Source organism: Homo sapiens, chromosome 6 (assembly GCF_000001405.40).
Source record: "Homo sapiens chromosome 6, GRCh38.p14 Primary Assembly".
In the NCBI taxonomy this organism is placed as follows: Eukaryota; Metazoa; Chordata; class Mammalia; order Primates; family Hominidae; genus Homo; species Homo sapiens.
In genome coordinates, this window is record NC_000006.12 from 80118417 (window position 1) to 80141874 (window position 23458).

Genomic DNA, 23458 nt, shown 5'->3' on the forward strand with positions numbered 1-23458 from the left:
CAAGTCATAATCTTTTTGCTGGTGGAGGGTCTTGCCTTGATGTTGATAGCTACTGACTGATCAGGGTAGTGGTTGCTGAAGGTTGTGGTGGCTGTGGCAACTTCATTAAAAAAAAAAAAGACAACAATGAAGTTTGCTGCATTGATAGAATCTTCCTTTCATGACAGATTTCTCTGTAGCATGAGATGCCGTTTGATAGCATTTTACCACAGTAGAACTTTTTTCAGAATTGAAATCAATTCTCCCAAACCCTGCCACTTCTTTATCAGCTAAGTTTGTGTAATATTGTAAGTCCTTTGTTGTCATTTCACAGTGTTCATGGCATCTTCATTAGCAATGGATTTCATCTCAAGGATCCACTTTTTTTTTTGAATTCATAGAAAGTAATAGATTCCATCTCAAGGCTCCACTTTCTTTGAGTTCTTCAGGTTGCATACGTAAAGAGCAACTCCTCATCCATTGAAGTTTTATCATGAGATTGTAGCAATTCAGTCACATCTTCAGGCTGCACTTCTAGTTCTCTTGCTATTTCTACCACGTCTGCAGTTATGTTCTTCTCTGAAGTTTTGAATCCCTCAAAGTCATCCATGAGGCTGGGCATGGTGGCTCACGCGTGTAGTCCTACCACTTTGGGAGGCCAAGGCTGGCGGATCATCTGAGCTAAGGAGTTTGAGACCAGCCTGGGCAGCATGTGAGACCTGGGCTCTACTAAAAATACAAAAAAATTAGCAGGCATGCTAGCGCATGCCTGTAATCCCTGGGGTGGCTGTGGTGTGAGAATTGGTTGATCCTGGGAGGTGGAGGTTGCAAAAAAAATAAAATGAACGAATGAATGAATGAATAAATGAAGTCATCCATGAGGGTTGAAATCAATTTATTTCAAACTCCTATAAATGTTGACTTCTTTTTTACTGTTTTTTGAGACAGAGTCTCACTCTGTCACGCAGGCTGGAGTGCAGTGGCATAATCTTGGCTGGCTGCAACCTCTACCTCCTGGGTTCAAGTGATTCTTGTGCCTTAGCCTCCTGAGTAGCTGGGATTACAGGTGTGCACCACCATACTGGGCTAATTTTTTGTATTTTTGGTAGAGGATGGGGTTTCGCCATGTTAGCCAGGCTGGTCTCGAACTCCTGGCCTCAAGTGATCCGCACCCCCCTTGGCCTCACAAAGTGCTGGGATTTCAAGTGTGAGCCATCACGCCTGGCCAATGTTGACATTTTGAAATTTCATGAACCATGAACATTCTAAATGGCATCTAGAATAGTCCTTCCCAGAAGATTTTCAATTTACTTTGCCCAGATCCATCAGAGTAATCATTTATGGCAGATATAGCTTTACAAAATGTATTTCTTAAATAATAAGACTTGAAAGTAGAAATTATTCCTTGATCTGTGAGGCACAGAATTGATGTATTAGCAGGCATGAAAACAATGTTAATCTTTTTTTTCCTATTTTTTTTTTCATTATACTTTAAGTTCTAGGGTACATGTACACAACGTGCAGGTTTGATACATAGGTATGTGCCATGTTGTTTTGCTGCACCCATCGACTCATCATTTACATTAGGTATTTCTTCTAATGCTATCCCTCCCCCAGCTTCCCAATCCCCGACAGGCCCTGGTGTGTGATGTTCCCCGCCCTGTGTCCAAGTGATCTCATTGTTCATTTCCCACTTATGAGTGAGAACATGTGGTGTTTGGTTTTCTGTCCTTGTGATAGTTTGCTGAGAATGATGGTTTCCAGCTTCATCCATGTCCCTGCAAAGGACATGAACTCATCATTTTGTATGGCTGCATAGTATTCCATGGTGTATATGTGCCACATTTTCTTAATCTAGTCTATCATTGATAGACATTTGGGTTGGTTCCAAGTCTTTGCTATTGTGAATAGTGCCACAATAAACATACATGTGCATGTGTCTTTATAGTAGCATGATTTATAATCCTTTGGATATATACCCAGTAATGGGATTGTTGGGTCAAATGGTAATTCTAGTTCTAGATCCTTGAGGAATCTCCACACTGTTTTCCACAATGGTTGAACCAATTTACACTCCCACCAAGAGTGTAAAAGTGTTCCTATTTCTCCACATCCTCTCCAGCATCTGTTGTTTCTTGACTTTTTAATGATTGCCATTCTAAATGGTGTGAGATGGTATCTCATTGTGATTTTGATTTGCATTTCTCTGATGACCGGTGATGATAAGCATTTTCTCATGTGTCTGTTGGCTGCATAGATGTCTTGTTTTGAGCAGTATCTGTTCATATTCTTTGCCCACTTTTTGATGGGTTTGTTTGTCTTTTTCTTGTAAATTTGTTTGAGTTCTTTGTAGATTCTGGATATTAGCCCTTTGTCAGATGGGTAGATTGCGAAAATTTTCTCCCATTCTGTAGGTTGCCCGTTCACTCTGATGATAGTTTATTTTGCCGTGCAGAAGCTCTTTAGTTTAATTAGATCCCCTTTGTCTATTTTGTCTTTTGTTGCCATTGCTTTTGATGTTTTAGTCATGAAGTCCTTGCCTATACCTATGTCCTGAATGGTATTGCCTAGGTTTTCTTCTAGGGATTTTATGGTTTTAGGTCTAACATTTAAGTCTTTAATCCATCTTGAGTTAATTTTTGTATAAGGTGTAAGGAAGGGATCCAGTTTCAGCTTTCTACATATGGCTAGCCAGTTTTCCCAGCACCATTTATTAAATAGGGAATCCTTTCCCCATTTCTTATTTTTGTCAGGTTTATTAAAGATCAGATGGTTGTAGATTTGTGGCATTATTTTTGAGGCCTCTGTTCTGTTCCATTGATCTATATCTCTGTTTTGGTACCAGTACCATGCTGTTTTGGTTACTGTAGCCTTGTAGTATAGTTTGAAGTCAGGTAGTGTGATACCTTTAGCTTTGTTCTTTTTGTTTAGGATTATCTTGGCTATGTGTGCTCTTTTTTGGTTCCATATGAACTTTAAAGTAGTTTTTTCCAATTCTGTGAAGAAAGTCATTGGTAGCTTGATGGGGATGGCACTGAATCTATAAGTTACTTTGGACAGTATGGCCATTTTCACAAACAGATTCTTCTTATCCATGAGCATGGAATATTCTTCCATTTGTTTGTGTCCTCTTTTATTTTGTTGAGCAGTGGTTTGTAGTTCTCCTTGAAGAGGTCCTTCACATTCCTTGTAAATTGGATTCCTAGGTATTTTATTTTGTTTGTAGCAATTGTGAATGGGAGTTCACTCATGATTTGGCTCTCTGTTAATGGTGTATAGGAATGCTTGTGATTTTTGCACATTGATTTTGTATCTTGAAACTTTGCAGAATTTGCTTATCAGCTTAAGGAGATTTTGGGCTGAGACGATGGGGTTTTCTAAATATACAATAATCTCATCTGCAAACAGGGACAATTTTACTTCCTCTTTTCCTAATTGAAAACCCTTTATTTGTTTCTCTTGCCTGATTGCGGCTAGAACTTCCAACACTATGTTGAATAGGAGTGGTGAGAGAGGGCATCCTTGTCTCGTGCCAGTTTTCAAAGGGAATGCTTCCAGTTTTTGCCAATTTAGTATGATATCGGCTGTGGGTTTGTCATAAATAGCTCTTATTATTTTGAGATATGTTCCATCAATACCTAGTTTATTGAGAGTTTTTAGCATGAAGGGCTGTTGAATTTTGTCGAAGGCCTTTTCTGCATCTATTGAGATAATCATGTGGTTTTTGTCATTGGTTCTGTTTATGTGATGGATTACGTTTATTGATTTGCATATGTTGAACCAGCCTTGCATCCCAGGGATGAAGTTGACTTGATCGTGGTGGATAAGATTTTTTATGTGCTGCTGGATTTGGTTTGCCAGTATTTTACTGAGAATTTTTGCATTGATGTTCATCAGGGATATTAGTCTAAAATTCTCTTCTTTTGTTGTGTCTGTCAGGCTTTGGTATCAGGATGATGTTAGCCTCATAAAATGAGTTAGGGAGGATTCCTTCTTTTTCTATTGATTGGAATAGTTCCAGAAGGTGTCGGGGGAACCCACCCCCAATATTTTAACGTAGGTTCTTTCTGTTTTCCATAAGTGTCATCTGGCTGAGAAATAAAGAGAAAGAGTACAAAGTGAGGAATTTTACAGCTGGGCCGCCGGGGGTGACATCCCATATTGGTAGGACCATGATGCCCACCTGAGGCTCAAACCAACAAGTTTTTTATTAAGGGTTTCAAAATTGGAGGGGGTTTAAAACAGGGAGTAGGTACAAAGATCACATGCTTCAAAGGGCAAAAAGCAGAGCAAAGATCACATGCTTCTGACCTAACAGGACAAAAGGCAAAACAGAACTACTGATAAGGGTCTATCTTCAGCTTTGCACATATTGTCTTGATAAACATCTTAAACAACAGAAAACAGGGTTTGAGAGCAGAGAACCAGTCTGACCACAAATTTACCAGCTTGGAGTTTTTCCCCACCCTAATAAGCCTGAGGGTACTGCAGGAGACCAGGGCGTATCTCAGTCCTTATCTCAACCACATAAGACAGACGCTCCCAGAGCGGATGTTTATAGGCCTTCCCCCCCTCCCCCCCGGCCCCCCCAGGAATGCATTCCTTTCCCTGGGTATTAATATTAATATTCCTTGCTAGGAAAAGAATTTAGCAATATCTCTCCTACTTGCATGTCCGTTTATAGGCTCTCTGCAAGAAGAAAAATATGGCTCTTTTTGCCTGACCCCACAGGCAGTCAGACCTTATGGTTGTCTTCCCTTGTTCCCTAAAAATTGCTGTTATTCTGTTGTTTTTCAAGGTGCACTGATTTCATATTGTTCAAACACACATGTTTTACAATCAATTTGTACAGTTAACACAATTATCACAGTGGTCCTGAGGTGATGTACATCCTCAGCTTACGAAGATAACAGAATTAAGAGATTAAAGTAAAACAGGTGTAAGAAATTATAAAAGTATTATTTGGGAACTGTTAAATGTCCATGAAATTTTCACGATTTATGTTCCTCTGTCATGGCTCCAGCCAGTCCCTCCATTTGGGATCCCTGACTTCCTGCAAGAAGAAGGAATGGTACCAGCAACTCTTTGTATCTCTGGTAGAATTCAGCTGTGAATCCATCTGGTCCTGGACTTTTTTTGGTTGGTAGGCTATTAATTATTGCCTCAATTTCAGAGCCTGTTATTGTTCTATTCAGAGATTCAACTTCTTCCTGGTTTAGTCTTGGGAGGGTGTATGTGTCCAGGAATTTATCCATTTCTTCTAGATTTTCTAGTTTATTTGCATAGAGGTGTTTATAGTATTCTCTGATGGTAGTTTGTATTTCTGTGGGATTGGTGGTGATATCTCCTTTATCATTTTTTATTGCATCTATTTGATTCTTCTCTGTTTTCTTCTTTATTAATCTTTCTAGTGGTCTATCAATTTTGTTGATCTTTTCAAAAAACCAGCTCCTGGATTCATTGATTTTTTTGAACGGTTTTTTTGTCTCTATCTCTTTCAGTTCTGCTCTGATCTTAGTTATTTCTTGCCTTCTGCTAGCTTTTGAATTTATTTGCTCTTGCTTCTCTAGTTCTTTTAATTGTGATGTTAGGGTGTCAATTTTAGATCTTTCCTGTTTTCTCTTGTGGGCATTTAGAGCTATAAATTTCCCTCTCCACACTGCTTTAAATGTGTCCCAGAGATTCTGGTACGTTGTGTCTTTGCTCTCATTGATTTCAAAGAACTTCTTTATTTCTGCCTTCTTTTCCTTATTTACCCAGTAGTCATTCAGGAGCAGGTTGTTCAGTTTCCATGTAGTTGTGCGGTTTTGAGTGAGTTTCTTAATCCTGAGTTCTAATTTGATTGCACTGCGGTTTGAGAGACAGTTTGTTGTTATTTCTGTTCTTTTACATTTGCTGAAAAGTGCTTTACTTCCAGTTATGTGGTCAATTTTAGAATAAGTGTGATGTAGTGCTGAGAAGAATGTGTATTCTGTTGATTTGGGGTGGAGAGTTCTGTAGATGTCTATTAGGTCCACTTGGTGCAGAGCTGAGTTCAGGTCCTGGATATCCTTGTTAACCTTGTTTCTCGTTGTTCTGTCTAATATTGACATTGGAGTGTTAAAGTCTCCCAATATTATTGTATGGGAGTCTCTTTGTAGGTCTCTAAGGACTTGCTTTATGAATCTGGGTGCTCCTGTATTGGGTGCATATATTTAGGATAGTTAGCTCTTCTTTTTGAATTGATCCCTTTACCATTATGTAATGGCCTTCTTTGTCTCTTTTGATCTGTGGAAAACAACGTTAATCTTATACATCTCCGTCAGAGCGCTTGGGTGACCAAGGCGCATTGTCAATGAGCAGTAATATTTTGAAAGGAATCTTTTTTTTTCCTGAGCAGTAGGTTTCAACAGTGGGCTTAAAATATTCAGGAAACCCTGATATAAATAGATGTGCTATCATTCAGGGTTTGTTGTTTCATTGAAAGAGAACAGGCAGAGTGGATTTAGCATAATTCTCAAGGGTGCTAGGACTTTCAGAATGGTGAATGAACATTGGCTTCAACTTCAAATCACCAGCTACATTAGCCCCTTACAAAAGAGTCCACCTGTCCTTTGAAGCCAGGCATTGACTTCTCTTTAGCTATGAAAATCCAAGATAGCATCTTCCAATAGAAGCTGTTTTGTCTCCATTGAAAATCTTTTGTTTAGTATAGCCACCTTCATCAATGATCTTAGTGAGATCTTCTGGATAATTTACTGCAGCTTCTCCATCAGCACTTTATGCTTCACTTTGCCGTTTTATGTACTGAGATGGCTTCTCTTCTTAAACCTCATGAACCAAGCTCTGCTATCTTCAGATTTTTCTTCGGCAGCTTCCTCACCTCTGTCAGCTTTCATAGAATTGAAAAGAGTTAGGAACTTGCCCTGGATTAGGCTTTGACTTAAGGGAATGTCGTGTGTGATTTGGTTTTCTATTCAGACCACTAAAATTTTCTTCATATCAGCAATAAGGCTATTTTGCTTTCTTATCATTTGTGTGCTTACTGGAATAACAGTTTACATTTTCTTCAAGAACTTTTCCTTTGCATTCACAACTAGGCTATTTGGTGCAAGAAGCCTAGCTTTCAGACTCTCTGGACTTTCAGCATGCCTTCCGTACTTAGCTTAGTCATTTCTAACTTACGATTTAAAGTGAGAGATATGCAGCTCCTCCTTTCACTTGAAAACTTAGAGATCACTGTAGGTCTAATTTTCATATTATTATGTCTCAGGGAATAGGGAAGCCTGAAGAAAGGGAGAGATAAAGGAGAATGACTGGTCAGTGGATCAGTGAGAACACATACAACATTTATTGAGGTTACTAATGTAATTGTCTTGGGGTGCCATGGCAGAATGTCAGAAGGCTGTGGCACCCCAAGACACTATAACCTCAAAGATCATTGATCAGAGATCATGATAACAGATGTAATAGTAATGAAAAAGTTTGAAATATTGTGAGAATTATGAAAATGTGATTCTGATGCTGATAGACTTGCTAGATACAGGGTTGCTACAAAGTTTCCATTTGTAAAAATTGCAATATCTGTAGGGCAAAATAAAGTGAAGCACAGTAAGACAAAGTATGCCTGTATCTATTAAGTGTTATAGCCCTAGCCTGAAGAAAAATAAATTTTTAAGTAATCATGGACATGTGGTATGATTGTATATCTTTTGCCATAAGTGATATAAAATAATATTTGAGTAAATTCGTATTATCTCCACCAAATATAAGAGTAGAAACAGGCTATGATTGTGGGCACAGAGGGCAGAGGACGTATCTGACTGGGGATTGCCAAGACCTGAACCCTGGGCATTCAGTACTGTTGAAAGGATCAGAGAGACATTAGATGCCAGAGTAGGCAGAACGTCAGAAGTCTGGAGTATCGGTGGATAATGGAAGGAGGAAAGATGTCATATGTCAGAACCTGCTGTGGAGCAATGCCAGGCTAGGGAAGAAAATGGGTCTCCAGGAAAAGGACAAGTGACCAATGTCCCATGGTCAGACAGTTGAAGGCAACAGCAGTAGCTGTTGTGACCCACACTGGGAATTAGATCTTGACTGTTGGGACACACTAGGCTAATGAATAGCATGGAGGTTAGGTGGGCAGTGATCAGGGTAAGCAACAGGTATCGAAATGATTTGTTATCAGCATGCTGTGGGTTAAGGCGACTACCAGCGTGTAGATCAGGCACTAGGATAAAGAGTGGGCCTTTCGATCGGGAGATTTAGGCTGAAGCCGTTCTGTGCTCTGAATTGTAATTTTGCAGAGGAGTTGACTTAAAGTTTTGGGATGACTGTGGGCATTGGGCAGCACCTGAGCTTGAATCGAAGCTCTAATGTCATGATGTTTCTGAATTCTAACATTTAGAACTTTATCAAATGAAGCTTTCCTATACCATTCAGAAGAGTACTAAGGTGAAGATAGAAGGACATGGACAGAGTCCAGAACCTAACAATGAATAGCTAATATTTATTCAGCACTCACTGTGTCAGGTACTGTTCTGAGTGTATTACATGTACTGCTTCATTTATTCCTCCTAAAAAATCCATTTAGGGAATGGACACTGGCTCACAGATATTCTATTTAAGTAATAAGACAATAAGAAGGACTAAATATGATGTGGTTAGGCATAAGATTATGGTATGTTCCAAACTCCAGCAGTTCCGGGTACCAAAGTTTATCTTTACCCTTCCTTATTGTTTTATGGTCCATGACCATTTGCTGTTGACGTATTTAGCACATGCCACTGGTCATGCACATTCCTTATGGCTTAGGTTCCTAACACCTGTCTGTGCTTCTTCCCAGACCACTCACTTTGACGGGTCTCCCTTTCTGACTTTCCATAGGTCTTATTGTCTACACGCATTTAGTCACTTGGTTATATTCCTTCTTCCTGTTTTATACTTTTACAAAAAATTGTTTAATATGGGTAAATTTTGCCCCATTAACAAGCTTCTCCAGGTCTGTATTGCTTTTGTATCTTATAGTATTATTGTAAATAATTCAGCAATTTGCATAATATCTTTCTTTGTACCTTGATTTTAGTCAAGTTGTAATTAACTGTTAAGAAACTGGTTGTTTTTATGTATTTTACAACACACGAAATGATTTTTTTTTTGATTTTCACAGGGCAAACTCAGAAAATGAATCTTTTCCAGTCTGTAACAAGTGCCTTGGATAACTCATTGGCCAAAGATCCTACTGCAGGTAACCCTGATATGTGCCTGAATTGTGGTAGCTGTGTTAATTCCAGAATTGAAGATTTGCTTAAAATATTTATGTGGAGCTCAATGGTTAACATTGTATCTACCTGACATTTTCAAAGGTATGATTGGGGCTAAATAATCAAATTGCAATATTAGTCCACTTATTACCAGTTAGTTCTCATGTATATTTAACATCAAGTCAGCTTTCTCTTACAGTGTGTGTGGTCCTGATATTGTATTAATAACTTCTGGATTAAAACCTGCTGTGTACTCCTGTTTCTTTGGCACATAGAAGAAAACAAAATACCTTTTCATTCAGCTATTTATTTATAAAATGAAGACTTGATTTTATGCTTCCCTTTGGAATACATTGTCATTCAACTTGTAATATGTTTTGGAAATAATTGTAATATTTATATATAATTTTATAAGTATCTTAATCTTCATCTTATTAAATCATTGATACAAAACCAATTGTTCTTCCACTGTATGTTTTCAAATTTGATTGGCTTTACTTCATATATGTATATACATATATATTTAACATATATCTATATATACAGTTTATATATGTGTGTGTGTGCATATATGTTGACTATACATTGGGCTTCCACCTTCCACCTGATAATCTGTAGTTTTAAGGTTAAATGAAAAACAGGTTATTTTTTAGGGAGAAGTGGGAGCTGGACTAAAGGATGATTAGATCTTGATTTGTTTTGAATGCTACTTGCGGATGATTGAACTAGAGAAGTAAATTCAAACATAGAGAAGGGTGAGTTTTTTCTTGGGGTCGATAAAAACTGGTTAGGTACGTTTATGAGACTAGCATTCAGCTCTATGAATACCCCTTATTTTAAAGCTCCTGCCAATTTCCACCTACACCATTCTTTGCCTTGCTTACTGTGTCCTTCGTGCTTGCCTCCTTTCTGCTTCACACAGTCTAAATCCCTTTCCTATTTGTGACTGTTCCCTTAGCTTGGAATGCTCTTCTGATGGCTTACTTACTGTATGCTGTGTCTCAGGAAAAACCACAGGCCTGGAAGTCTGGAGCATGAGTCATAGTTCTGCCTCTAGCTTTCTGACTTGGCCAGTCAATTTACCACTTCTCTGGTCTCGTTTTCTTCATGGATAAAACAAATGAGATTCTAGATCAGTGGTTCTTTCTCAACTGGGGATGATCTTAGTCTCCACTCCCACAACTCTGTTTACATTTAACAATGTAAGTGAAGACACTTTTTGTTGTCTCAACTGTGTGTGTGTGTGTGTGTGTGTGTGTGTGTGTGTGGTAACTGTCATCCAGTGGGTAGAGACCAGGGTTGCTGCTATGTATCTACAGTGCACAGGACAGACCCTCACAACAAAAGAATCATCTAGTCTAAAATGTCAATAATGTAGAAGTTGAGAAACCTTGATCGAGATCTATGGTCCATTTATCTTTTGTGATTTAAAATGTAAACATTTAAATTACTTATTTCTCATTGTTAGTATTATTTAGAGATTATTAAATAAAATGTATTATTTAAATACTGTTTTTCAGTAATATTTGGTGAAGATGTTGCCTTTGGTGGAGTCTTTAGATGCACTGTTGGCTTGCGAGACAAATATGGTAAGTAAATACCTATATGAATAGTATTCTGATAGAACTTTTACTAAAAGATCTTAAAAATACAAAATATGCCTACTAAATTTTTTGTCATATCCCCATTGTATGGATGAATTCCTTTTCATTTCCAACGCCACCCGCAGAATCCTTTGGCCTATATTTTCTCAAATGTCTTCTAGTATCCCTCTGATCTAGTTCATATTACACATACAGTGTAAATGATTCCAAAATAATTGTCATTAAATGTATATTATTTATTGTGTCATTCTTCTGTCCAAGAACCTTTGGTGTTTTATTGCTAGCTGCCTGAGCCAATTTCAATTCCATTGCCTCCAGTTGGAGATTCTGCCTGTTGGGTCTTTATTAGCAAACTTTATCTTTTCGGGAAGAGAGAGAGAGAGAGAGGGAGAGGGATTTAGTTTTTAAGGAACTGGCTCATGTGAGTTTAGTTTTAAGGAACTGGCTGGCAAGTCCATAGGGCAAACTGGTTGACTTGAAACTCAGGCAGGGTTTCTGTTTTAGCCTTGAGGCTGAATTTCTTTTTGCTCGGGAACCTGCAGTCTTTTCTCTTAAGGCCTTAAATTGATTGTATGAAGCCTACCCACATTATAAAAGGTAATCTGCTTTATTCAAAATCTACTGATTTAAACGCTAATCACATCTAAAAAATACCTTCACAACAACTTCTACACCTGTGTTTGACCAAATATTAATAATTGGGTGCCATAGCCTGGTCAAGTTGACATATAATGAACCATCACATTATCCTTCTTACATGTTTTATCCCAGCTGATGTCTTTAATTGGCATGTGATTGATTTCTGCCCATTGCTTTTATTAATTTCATTTGACTCAGTTAAAATAATCAGAATGCATTTTGGTCCATCTTTGAATTCCCACTCTTCTGACTTGCAGTGTAAGGAATGTGTTTTGACCTCCTATTGTTAGGGATACCTTTGAAATGCTTTTGACATTTTATTTTTTGTCTTAGTCTTACCTGATTTAGAATTCAGCAAAGCAGTTCACGTGAGGGCTGGCAGGAGCTGATATCTCCCTCTCTTCTTTCCTTTGGCATTGCTCTATATTGCTTGTGTATTCATACGGGGCAAGAGGAGTGAGGGTCTTTAAAATTTTTTTTTAAATTGTTGTCTCTTTTTCTGTTCCACTCTTTCTGAGGTTATGTTATACTTAAATCCAAGAACCCATACATGTTCCATCTCACTTATTGGGAACTTCCAGCTTAGTCTTTTCTTTTCCATTTATAGCAGGTTGAGTTTCTGGATCCAGTCCGTCTGCTTTCTCCTACTTCTAATACCTGCTTAGAGCTTGAGGTAGTTGGGCAAAAGATTATTTTTCCTGATCATTTAGACTCCTGCTACAAACTTTTAGATCTTTAATAAACAGTTAAAAATCTTTACACATTTGATTTCAAAAGTAATGCATATACATTGTAGAAAATTTGGAAAATATAGAAAAGCATAAAGAAAATAAAAATTGCTCATGTTTTCAGAGATAACTTGGAGATAACCACTGTACACGTCTTGGTATATATACTTCTAGACTGTATTTGAATATGTTTGTATATATTAACTAATATTTCAAACACAGAATTATACTTCTGTAACTGAGTCTTCTCTGTATCCAGTATAACTATGCTGTGGAGCAGTGTCTAGACCTCACAATTCCATCTTGCCTGACTCAGTGTAGTAGCATGCCATGTGCTTTCTGAATAGCTAATATTTATTCAACTCACTGCGTCAGGTACTGTTCTGAGTGTATTACATGTACTGCTTCATTTATTCCTCCCAAAAAATCTAGGGGTTTGTGTAGGCTGTTGAGTCCTCTGCTGCCTGTCTGCCCAGGTTCTCATCCATAACACTCTGCTTACCCCTTCTGTCTGGGGCATTTTATCGATGCCATCTGCTGCTCATACACTGGTGACTCCTGAATTTCTGTCTCTAGTTCAGACTTCCGTTCTGAGCTTCAGATCTGTGTATTCAGTTTCTACTGCACATCTTCACCTCAGTGTTCCACAGTCACTTCAAACTCAGCATTTCCACACCTAAGGCTGCTACATGCACCCAGCAAATATATGCCTCCTAGTGCATTTCCTATTTTGGTGAATATATCACCATCCATTTAGTTACCTAAGCCAGACACTGGGGAAATTCTAAGTGTCTTCCTTCTTTCTAGTTCCCCACATCCAGTGAAGTTGTATAATTATATCTAATCTGGCCCCTCCTTTCCATTCTTACTGCCCTGATACTTAAGATCTTTCATTTTTCTCTGCCTGCAGAGTTTTATTTCTTTTCTTAGCAGTCACCACTCCTTTAGTCTTACCCTCCCTCCAATCCATTCCCTATCTTGTTGCCAGTGTGATGATTTTAACATGCATATTTCTTAGCAGGACATACAAAATACTTTTTTTTTTTTTTGAGATGGAGTCTCGCTCTATCGCCCAGGCTGGAGTGCAGTGGTGCGATCTTGGCTCACTGCAGCCTCTGCTTCCTGGGTTCAAGTGATTCTCCTGCCTCAGCCTCCTGAGTAGCTGGGACTACAGCCGCATACCACCATGCCCTGCTAATTTTTGTATTTTTAGTAGAGATGGAATTTCACTGTGTTGGTCAGGCTGGTCTCAAACTCCTGACCTTGTGATCCACCTGCCTCGGCCTCCCTAAGTGCTGGGATTACAGGCATGAGCCACTGCGCCTGGCTACCAAAGACTTTGAGAACTACTTAGGTAGCTACCTGACCTCATCTGCTTTTATTTTTATTTTATTTATTTTATCTATTTTTTAGTTTTTACTCTACAGACCTAGGAACTTGAGCTTTTTAAAATTTTTATTAAAACTAATGTTGAGTTACTGGTTGTTTCTCTTAAGCCCCCTGTTGTTTTTTCTTCTCTCTTCCTTTGCACTTGCTATCTGGGTCTCTCTACCCTGTCTGATTACCTGGTAGACTCCTATTTCTTCTTCAGAAGATTCCCCTGTGAAACTCTTCCGGACCCTCCAAGCAGACTCAGGCAGTTCTTTATCACTATTCACGCTGCACCTTTTAAATCTTGAAAGTTGTACTGTAATCCATAACTCCCACCAGAAAGTTGTCAAAGGCAGCAGATCTTTAAGCTGTTCCACAGAATGGATCCCTAGGACCTAATATTGTATCAGGCAGTATTTATGAAGTGCGTGCTGTTGAGTGAATTTACCCTTTGCTCTCACTTAGACAGTGTCCTACTGTCTCAGGAAGGGGATTTCCCTCTCTCACATTAATTATTTAGGTTGGTCTGATTTTATTTTCCTTAAAAAATAGGTTAAAATGGGGAGAAACTAACTCTTAACTTGAAAAAGTCCAGTGCTCTTAGAGGGTACCTGCAAATTTATGTTTCCTGTCATGGCAGGAGGCTGAGCTAACTAATGGCTAAGTAACTCTTTTAGCTTTATTGTCAGCAGCTGCTGTGAATTTTTACAATAGTTTTAGGGCAGTGAAGTTACACTTTATTAATTTCAGGTTGAGGATGTTGATCAAGATGAAAAATTAAATCGCTGATACTTTCTAATGAGAGTAAGTGAGCTTCTGTTTTCAGAAGTGAAGAATAAAGGAAAGGGTGAAGAGAAATATATTAAAATACATTTTTCTTGCATATTTAAAAAGTAACATATACTTAAAAAATTATCTGCCCTTTTGAATATAGGGCAGGAATTTTTAGCTATACAGAAGCATAACTGTCTGCTTAGGATTTTTAAAGGATAATTTGTATTTAAAATAACTAAAAGATTATGTTGATATAGTTCAATATAACAATCAAGTCACACTGCATTAAATGACATAGCAAAGAAAACCCTTGTGCCAGATCAGTTCGCTTTCTGGGGAGTGCTGAATGTTGAGTGGGAAAGGATCAAGTCAGCAGGTGGCAGCCTACCCTTTGAAATGAGAACATCCCTGTTGGCATTGTGCCAGCACTTGAACTGCTGCAAAGCATTTTATATTCCATCAGAAGGCGGAATTTGAAGGATTGTGGGTTACTGACATACGTTGTAAAGCTGAATACTACTTGATATGACAAAGAAGGAATTGCATAATTAGAGGCAATGCTATAAGAAAAGGAAGAGAGGCATAGAGCATTTTGTATTCCAGACGATCCAGATGAGTGTGGATTTAGTACCACTAAACTGCTTCTCTTCCTTGTCCTTTGATAGAACAAAATAGTATGAGTGCTTTGAAAATTAGAAGAAAGAAAATAGTATGTCCTCATCAACATTGCATTCCAAATGGCAGCTTTAACCACTGTACGTAATGAGATGTATTGATTAGGAGCAACAGCTGGACCTCTGGGGAAGCAGGGAGTGGGAGAGGGCAGTTAAAGGTAGTTGATTTGTAGGGTATGTGTGATTTTATGTTGAATGCCACACATGCTTTCTTTCTTTCTTTTTTTTTTAAGACAGAGTCTTGCTCTGTCACCCAGGCTGGAGTGCAGTAATGCGATCACGGCTCACTGTAACCTCTCTCTCCCAGGTTCAAGCAATTCTCCTGCCTCAGCCTCCCAAGTAGCTGGGACTACAGGTGCCCACCACCACACCTGGCTAATTTTTGTATTTTTAGTAGAGACGGGGTTTCATCATGTTGGCTAGGCTGGTCTCGAACTCCTGACCTCAGGTGATCTGCCTCCCTTGGCCTCCCAAAGTGCTGGGATTACAGGCGTGAGCCACTGTGCCTGGTGTCACACATGCTTTCATTCATATAAGTAATGAGACAGATTCCTCATGGCATATAAAAAATCCATTCGTATTGTCATTCTCTGAGAGAGAGAGAAAGAGAAAGAGTGTATGTGTGTGTGTGTGTTATTAAAATAAGATTTTGGTGTGTCAGGTTTAAGGTATGTTTGTAACATTATTCTATACTGATATAACTTGCCTGGTTGTGGTTCTTAGTGTATATTTGGCCCACTTATTGGAGGAAATTTAGGTGAGGAAAGGAATAGCTGAGGACCTCCTGAATTAGTCTACAGGCCTAAACATGTGCCTTTTCATGGGACTTGATGTTTTTCCATTACTGTATCCATTCCTTTACACCACAGGTGTGGCCTGTCATAGCAGCTTGGGAAAACTAATATAACCACTTACTTGTTTTCTTATGTAAACATCACTGAAATTGTATAACCAGATACTTTAATACACTGAAGTCAGGTTGGAAAACTAGGACAGGCATGCGGTGAAGGCAAGTTTTTGTCTATAATATATCAATATTTGGGAGTTGACTTTGGGCCTCAGTATCCTCATCAGTAAATTGAAGGGAAAGGACTAGGTGGTCCTCTGGGATTCTTCCAGAGCATACATTTAGGTAAGCTTTATGGTTTTATTTGTTTTTAAAAAGAGGAACACAGTTTTTTCATGCTTTGATTCCCTTTACATTTAGAGGTTTTTTTGAATATAGTTGTTATAGCATTTTGGAACCATGGGGTACCTTAGGCATTTAATTTAATTTTTTCTTAAGATGTCCCTTTTCCAGCGTTTTGTTTTATTTTATTTATTTATTTATTTATTTATTTGAGTTGGAGTCTCACTCTGTCACCCAGGCTGGAGTGCAGTGGCGAGATCTCAGCTCACTGCAACTTCCATTCCCCAGGTTCAAGTGATTCTTGTGCCTCAGCCTCTGAGTAGCTGGGATAATAGGCATACACCACTATGCCTGGCTGATTTTTGTATTTTTAGTAGAGATGGGGTTTCATCATGTTGGCCAGGCTGGTCTCGACCTCCTGACCTCAAGTGATCCGCCAGCCTTGGCCTCCCAAAGTGCTGGGATTATAGGTGTGAGCCACCACACTTGGCTGCTTTTCCAGCATAAGTTTTAAATTTAGGGGTGTTAGCAAAATCTTTGCTCTCTTATATATTTTTTGTGAATTATGAAATTAATGTCTTTAACAGAGAAAGTGATCTTCCATTATATGTTCTTGTTGCAAAGAACGGGTTATTTGGGTGATACTCATACTCTTGGATTTAGTGTCAGGGTTCCATTGTAGAATGGCAATCTGTGAGATGGGGGTTTGGTTTCTGGGTTGTTGAAACTAATTTTATGGAAGAAAAAAACAGGATAAAATTCAGGAAAATTCCTTAGGGAAATTGAATATGTAGAGGATTTATTTCCCCTATTGAAGTATACATATTTATGACATACAAGCAGATTGAATACCAGATATAGATTGTGAGATGTCTAACAGGAATTTGGAGTGAAAACAGGTATTAATAAGTTGGTGTAAATCTGGTTTCCTAATATATTTATTAAAAATATTTTTAAAGGATTGTTAGTAGCTTTAAATTGCTCTTGATATTACAAAGTTCTTTTGTTTTCCAAAGGTGCACATGTTGGCAGAACTAGATGAACATGTTTAATATGCCTTTTTTTCCCCACAGTGCTTTTTTCACAAACATTAATTTATTTCTAAAAATTATGGTCAAATATATATAACATTTACTGTTTTAACCATTTTTACAGTTCAGTGTTATTAAGTACATTCACGTTGTGGTGCAATTATTACCACCATCCATCACCAGAACTTTTTTCATCTTACAAAACTGAAACACTATAACCATCTAACAATAACTCCCCATTTTCTCTCCAACAGTCCCTGGCAAGAACCCATTCTACTTTCTATCTCTATGAATTTGACTGTTCCTTATGTGAGTGGAATCATTTAGTATTTGTCCTTTTGTGACTGCCTTATTCATTTATAATAATGTCCTCAAGGTTTATTGATGTTTCAGCATGTGTCAAAGTTTCCTCCCTTTTTAAGGCTGCATAATATTGTGTTGTATGCATATACTACATTTTGTTTATCCATTCATTTGTTGATGGATGTTTGGGTTGCTTCTGCCTTTTGCCTATTGTGTCCTAAGACTGCTATAAATACTGATGTGCAAATATTTGGTAGTGTCACTGCTTTTTTAATTCAGAAGAACAAAGTTGGAGGACTCACAGTTCTTTTTTTCAAAACTTACTGCAAAGCTGTAGTTATCAAAACGGTGTGACAGTGGCAAAAAGACAAACATTGATGAATGGAATAGAATAGAGAACCCAGAAATAAACCCTTGAATATCTAGTCATTAATTTTTGACAATGATGCCAATACCATTCAACAGGGGAAAGGACAGTCTTTTCAACAAATGATGCTGGGAAAACTGGATATTCACATGCAAAAGAATGAATTTGGACCTTTATTTAACACCATATACAAAAATGAACTCAAAATAGATCACAGACTTAAATGTAAAACTATAAAACTCTTAGAAGAAAATGTAGGGGAAAAGCTTCGTGAAATTGGATTTGATAATGACTTTTTAAATATGGCTCTAAAGGTATAGGCAACAATAAAAATAGATAAATTGGACTGCATCGAAATTAAAAATATGTACTTTGAAGGACACTATTAACAGGGAAAAAAGGCAGTTCACAGAATGGGAGAAAATACTTGCAAATCATGTATCAGATAAGAGATTAATATCCAGAATATATGGAGAACTTCTAAAACTCTACAAAAAAAACCCCAATCAATTAAAAAAATAAGCAAAGGACTTGCATAGACATTTCTCCCAAATTGATAATTTATATATAAATTACCAGTATATAAATTACCAGTGAAAAGATGCTCAACATCATCAATTATTAGGAAATGCAAGTCAGTATCCCAGTGGAATACCACTTCGTACTCATTAGGATGGCTGTTATCAAGAAAACAGGAAATAACAAGTGTTGCTGAGGATGAAATTGGAATCATTGTGCATTGTTGGTGGGAATGTAAAGCGACACAGCCACAGTGGAAAACAGTACGGTAGTTCCTCAAAAAATTAGAATTTCCATATGATGCAGCAATATGCCTTTCTTTTTATCTCATTTAAAAAATCCAGCTGAATGAGTTAGCATAGAAAATGGAATGGAAATATTGATGCATGCTTCATTTACTTTAGTTTTTCTTATTTATTACTTTGATGACCTTTTGTGATTTTTCCAAATAAGGATTTTAGACACTACTAAAATTAGAATGGGTACAAACGGTCACTGTATTTTACTTTCTCTAATTTATAACACTGACCTCTCAGAACTTTAGTTCTATATGACGTGGATATAGACTAGATAAGAATTTCTCAGCCTGTCAGCACTATTTATTTATTTCTCTATTTATTTGTTTAAGAGTCAGGGTCTTGCTCTATTTCCTATACTGGAGTGTGGTGGTACAATCATACTTCACTGCAGCCTTGAACTCTTGGGCTCAAGCAGTCCTTCCGCCTCTCACAGTATTCTCACTGTTGGCTTGTTGACCAGTGGCTTAACAAATACCATTTAAGAAAATAAGATATTTAATATATTTTGTAGGATATCAGAGCTGGGGAGAAATGGAGGGTATATCTAGTCTAGTGGTTTTCAACTGCTGGTGATTTTGGCAATGTCTAGAGATATTTTTGGTTGTCATACCTTGGGGGGTACCACTAGAATCTGGTGGATGGAGACCTAGAATGCTGCTAAACATGCACAGGGCAGCCCCACCAAATAACTGTCCGTACCAAAATGTCAATACTGTTGAAGCTGGCTGGGCATGATGGCTTACAGTTGTAATCCTAGTGCTTTGGGAGGCCAAGGTGGGAGGATTGCTTGAGGCCAAGAGTTTGAGACCAGCCTGGGCAACATAGCAAGATGACCCCACCCCTACAAAAAATTAAAAAAAAAAAATAGCTGAGCAGGGTGGCACACAGCTGTAGTCCACCTGCTTTGGAGGCTGAAGCAGGAGAGCCCAGGAGTTTGAGGCTGCAGTGAGCTGTGATCATACCACTGCAGTCTAGCCTGGGTGATAGAAGGAGACCCAGACTCTAAAAAAAATAGTGCAGCAAGGCTGAGAGACTCTGATCTATTTCCATGTAATGTGGACACTGAAATTCTGAGAGGTGGAGTTGCTCAGTGGCAAGTGGTCTAGGGCTCACGCTTCCTAAAACCCAGTTCTAGGATTTTTGTACTATATATTTTTCCCTCATTTATAAATGAACAGCTAATTTATGTAAAAACATAAAAATAAGGAATTCTTTTTTTTTATTATTATTATACTTTAAGTTTTAGGGTACATATGCACAATGTGCAGGTTAGTTACATATGTATACATGTGCAATGCTGGTACACTGCACCCACTAACTCGTCATCTAGCATTAGGTATATCTCCCAATGCTATTCCTCCCCCGTCCCCCAACCCCACAACAGTCCCCAGAGTGTGATGTTCCCCGTCCTGTGTCCATGTGTTCTCATTGTTCAATTCCCACCTATGAGTGAGAATATGTGGTGTTTGGTTTTTTGTTCTTGCGATAGTTTACTGAGAATGATGATTTCCAGTTTCATCCATGTCCCTACAAAGGACATGAACTCATCATTTTTTATGGCTGCATAGTATTCCTTGGTGTATATGTGCCCCATTTTCTTAATCCAGTCTATCATTGTTGGACATTTGGGTTGGTTCCAAGTCTTTGCTATTGTGAATAGTGCTGCATGTGTGTGAATAAACATACGTGTGCATGTGTCTTTATAGCAGCATGATTTATAATCCTTTGGGTATATACCCAGTAATGGGATGGCTGGGTCAAATGGTATTTCTAGTTCTAGATCCCTGAGGAATCGCCACACTGACTTCCACAATGGTTGAACTAGTTTATAGTCCCAGCAACAGTGTAAAAGTGTTCCTATTTCTCCACATCCTCTCCAGCACCTGTTGTTTCCTGACTTTTTAATGATTGCCATTCTAACTGCTGTGAGATGATATCTCATTGTGGTTTTGATTTGCATTTCTCTGATGGCCGGTGATGGTGAGCATTTTTTCATGTGGTTTTTGGCTGCATAAATGTCTTCTTCTGAGAAGTGTCTGTTCATGTCCTTCGCCCACTTTTTGATGGGGTTGTTTGTCTTTTTCTTGTAAATTTGTTTGAGTTCATTGTAGATTCTGGATATTAGCCCTTTGTCAGATGAGTAAGTTGTGAAAATTTTCTCCCATTTTGTAGGTTGCCTGTTCACTCTGATGGTAGTTTCTTTTGCTGTGCAGAAGCTCTTTAGTTTAATTAGATCCCATTTGTCAATTTTGTCTTTTGTTGCCATTGCTTTTGGTGTTTTAGACATGAAGTCCTTGCCCATGCCTATGTCTTGAATGGTACTTCCTAGGTTTTCTTCTAGGGTTTTTATGGTTTTAGGTCTAACATTTAAGTCTTTAATCCATCTTGAATTGATTTTTGTATAAGGTGTAAGGAAGGGATCCAGTTTCAGCTTTCTACATATGGCTAGCCAGTTTTCCCAGCACCATTTATTAAATAGGGAATCCTTTCCCCATTGCTTGTTTTTCTCAGGTTTGTCAAAGATCAGATAGTTGTAGATATGTGGCATTATTTCTGAGGGCTCTGTTCTGTTCCATTGATCTATGTCTCTGTTTTGGGACCAGTACCATGCTGTTTTGGTTACTGTAGCCTTGTAGTATAGTTTGAAGTCAGGTAGTGTGATGCCTCCAGCTTTGTTCTTTTGGCTTAGGATTGACTTGGCGATGTGGGCTCTTTTTTGGTTCCATATGAACTTTAAAGTCATTTTTTCCAATTCTGTGAAGAAAGTCATTGGTAGCTTGATGGGGATGGCATTGAATCTATAAATTACCTTGGGCAGTATGGCCATTTTCACGATATTGATTCTTCCTATCCATGAGCATGAAATGTTCTTCCATTTGTTTGTATTCTCTTTTATTTCATTGAGCAGTGGTTTGTAGTTCTCCTTGAAGAGGTCCTTCACTTCCCTTGTAAGGTGGATTCCTAAGTATTTTATTCTCTTTGAAGCAATTGTGAATGGGAGTTCACTCATGATTTGGCTCTCTGTTTGTCTTTTATTGGTGTATAAGAATGCTTGTGATTTTTGTACATTGATTTTGTATCCTGAGACTTTGCTGAAGTTGCTTATCAGCTTAAGGAGATTTTGGGCTGAGACAATGGGGTTTCTAGATATACAATCATGTAATCTGCAAACAGGGACAATTTGACTTCCTCTTTTCCTAATTGAATACCTTTTATTTCCTTCTCCTGCCTAATTGCCCTGGCCAGAACTTCCAACACTATGTTGAACAGGAGTGGTGAGAGAGGACATCCCTGTCTTGTGCCAGTTTTCAAAGGGAATGCTTCCAGTTTTTGTCCATTCAGTATGATATTGGCTGTGGGTTTGTCATCGATAGCTCTTATTATTTTGAGATACGTCCCATGAATACCGAATTTATTGTGAGTTTTTAGCATGAAGGGTTGTTGAATTTTGTCAAAGGCCTTTTCTGCATCTATTGAGATAATCATGTGGTTTTTGTCTTTGGTTCTGTTTATATGCTGGATTACATTTATTGATTTGCGTATATTGAACCAGCCTTGCATCCCAGGGATGAAGCCCACTTGATCATGGTGGATAAGCTTTTTGATGTGCTGCTGGATTCGGTTTGTCAGTATTTTTTTGAGGATTTTTGCATCAATGTTCATCAAGGATATTGGTCTAAAATTCTCTTTTTTGGTTGTGTCTCTGCCTGGCTTTGGTATCAGGATGTTGCTGGCCTCATAAAATGAGTTAGAGAGGATTCCCTCTTTTTCTATTGATTGGAATAGTTTCAGAAGGAATGGTACCAGTTCCTCCTTGTACCTCTGGTAGAATTCGGCTGTGAATCCATCTGGTCCTGGACTCTTTTTGGTTGATAAGCTGTTGATTATTGCCACAATTTCAGCTCCTGTTATTGGTCTATTCAGAGATTCAACTTCTTCCTGGTTTAGTCTTGGGAGAGTGTACGTGTCCAGGAATTTATCCATTTCTTCTAGATTTTCTAGTTTATTTGCGTAGAGGTGTTTGTAGTAATCTCTGACGGTAGTTTGTATTTCTGTGGGATCGGTGGTGATATCCCCTTTATCATTTTTAATGCGTCTATTCGATTCTTCTCTCTTTTCTTCTTTATTAGTCTTGCTAGCGGTCTATCAATTTTGTTGATCCTTTCAAAAAACCAGCTCCTGGATTCATTAATTAAAAACCCTTCAAAAATAAGGAATTCTAATGAAACAAAGGTCATGGGTTTTGATTAGTCATGAAATAAGAGGCTAGCGATCAGAAACCTATATTAAAAAGTTTGAAAAAAATCTATTTTTGTGATTCTCTTGTGAACGAGATTTTCTGAGTGCATTAGGTTGTTCTGGGGTTGGAGCTACTTCTGTAACCATTGTTTTCAATTTAATTGATTACACAATAAATGTTAGAGCTACCAACAGGTGTTCTCTTTGACATTTTAAGTATCAGTCAGAATGTAATGACCTTAAGCCAGTTTTTCTCAATCTTATTTGACAATGGCATGCTTTTAAAAATGTTCAAATGTGAGCACCAATAGGGGCTTGGAAGATAGGCTTGGATTAAAGTGAACAAGGAAAAATGGGATTATAGATAATTATTGTCAGAAAGTATAAAATTGATTCATGTATCTTTTAAGCATCACAAGAATTAGAAAATGAGACCATGTGTATTTTATTAAGAACAATATGTATTAGAAAAGTAAAAGATCTTTGTTTTATATTTTCATTATCAAATATGACATCCACATCCTCAAGCCACACATCCACGTAATATGAAAGATGTT

At 38.0% G+C, this 23458-nt stretch overlaps 1 protein-coding gene across 28 annotated transcripts in view; it reads left to right on the top strand.

Moving 5' to 3' along the window:
- Positions 1 to 23458, top strand: part of BCKDHB (branched chain keto acid dehydrogenase E1 subunit beta) — a 360067-nt gene that overhangs the window by 11807 nt on the left and 324802 nt on the right. For 26 of the 28 annotated variants that reach the window (XR_001743546.3, NR_134945.2, NR_187562.1 and 23 more), the window contains exons 2-3: positions 9131 to 9208; positions 10745 to 10813. Coding sequence is in view for 21 of the 28 variants with exons in the window: in NM_001424037.1 (NP_001410966.1) it covers positions 9131 to 9208; positions 10745 to 10813 (147 nt within the window). In the remaining 7 variants the exon portion in view is untranslated. Of the gene's footprint in view, positions 1 to 8733; positions 8963 to 9130; positions 9327 to 10744; positions 10814 to 23458 lie in introns of those variants that run through there. The other 2 variants (XM_047419214.1, NR_187564.1) reach the window with 2 other exon arrangements.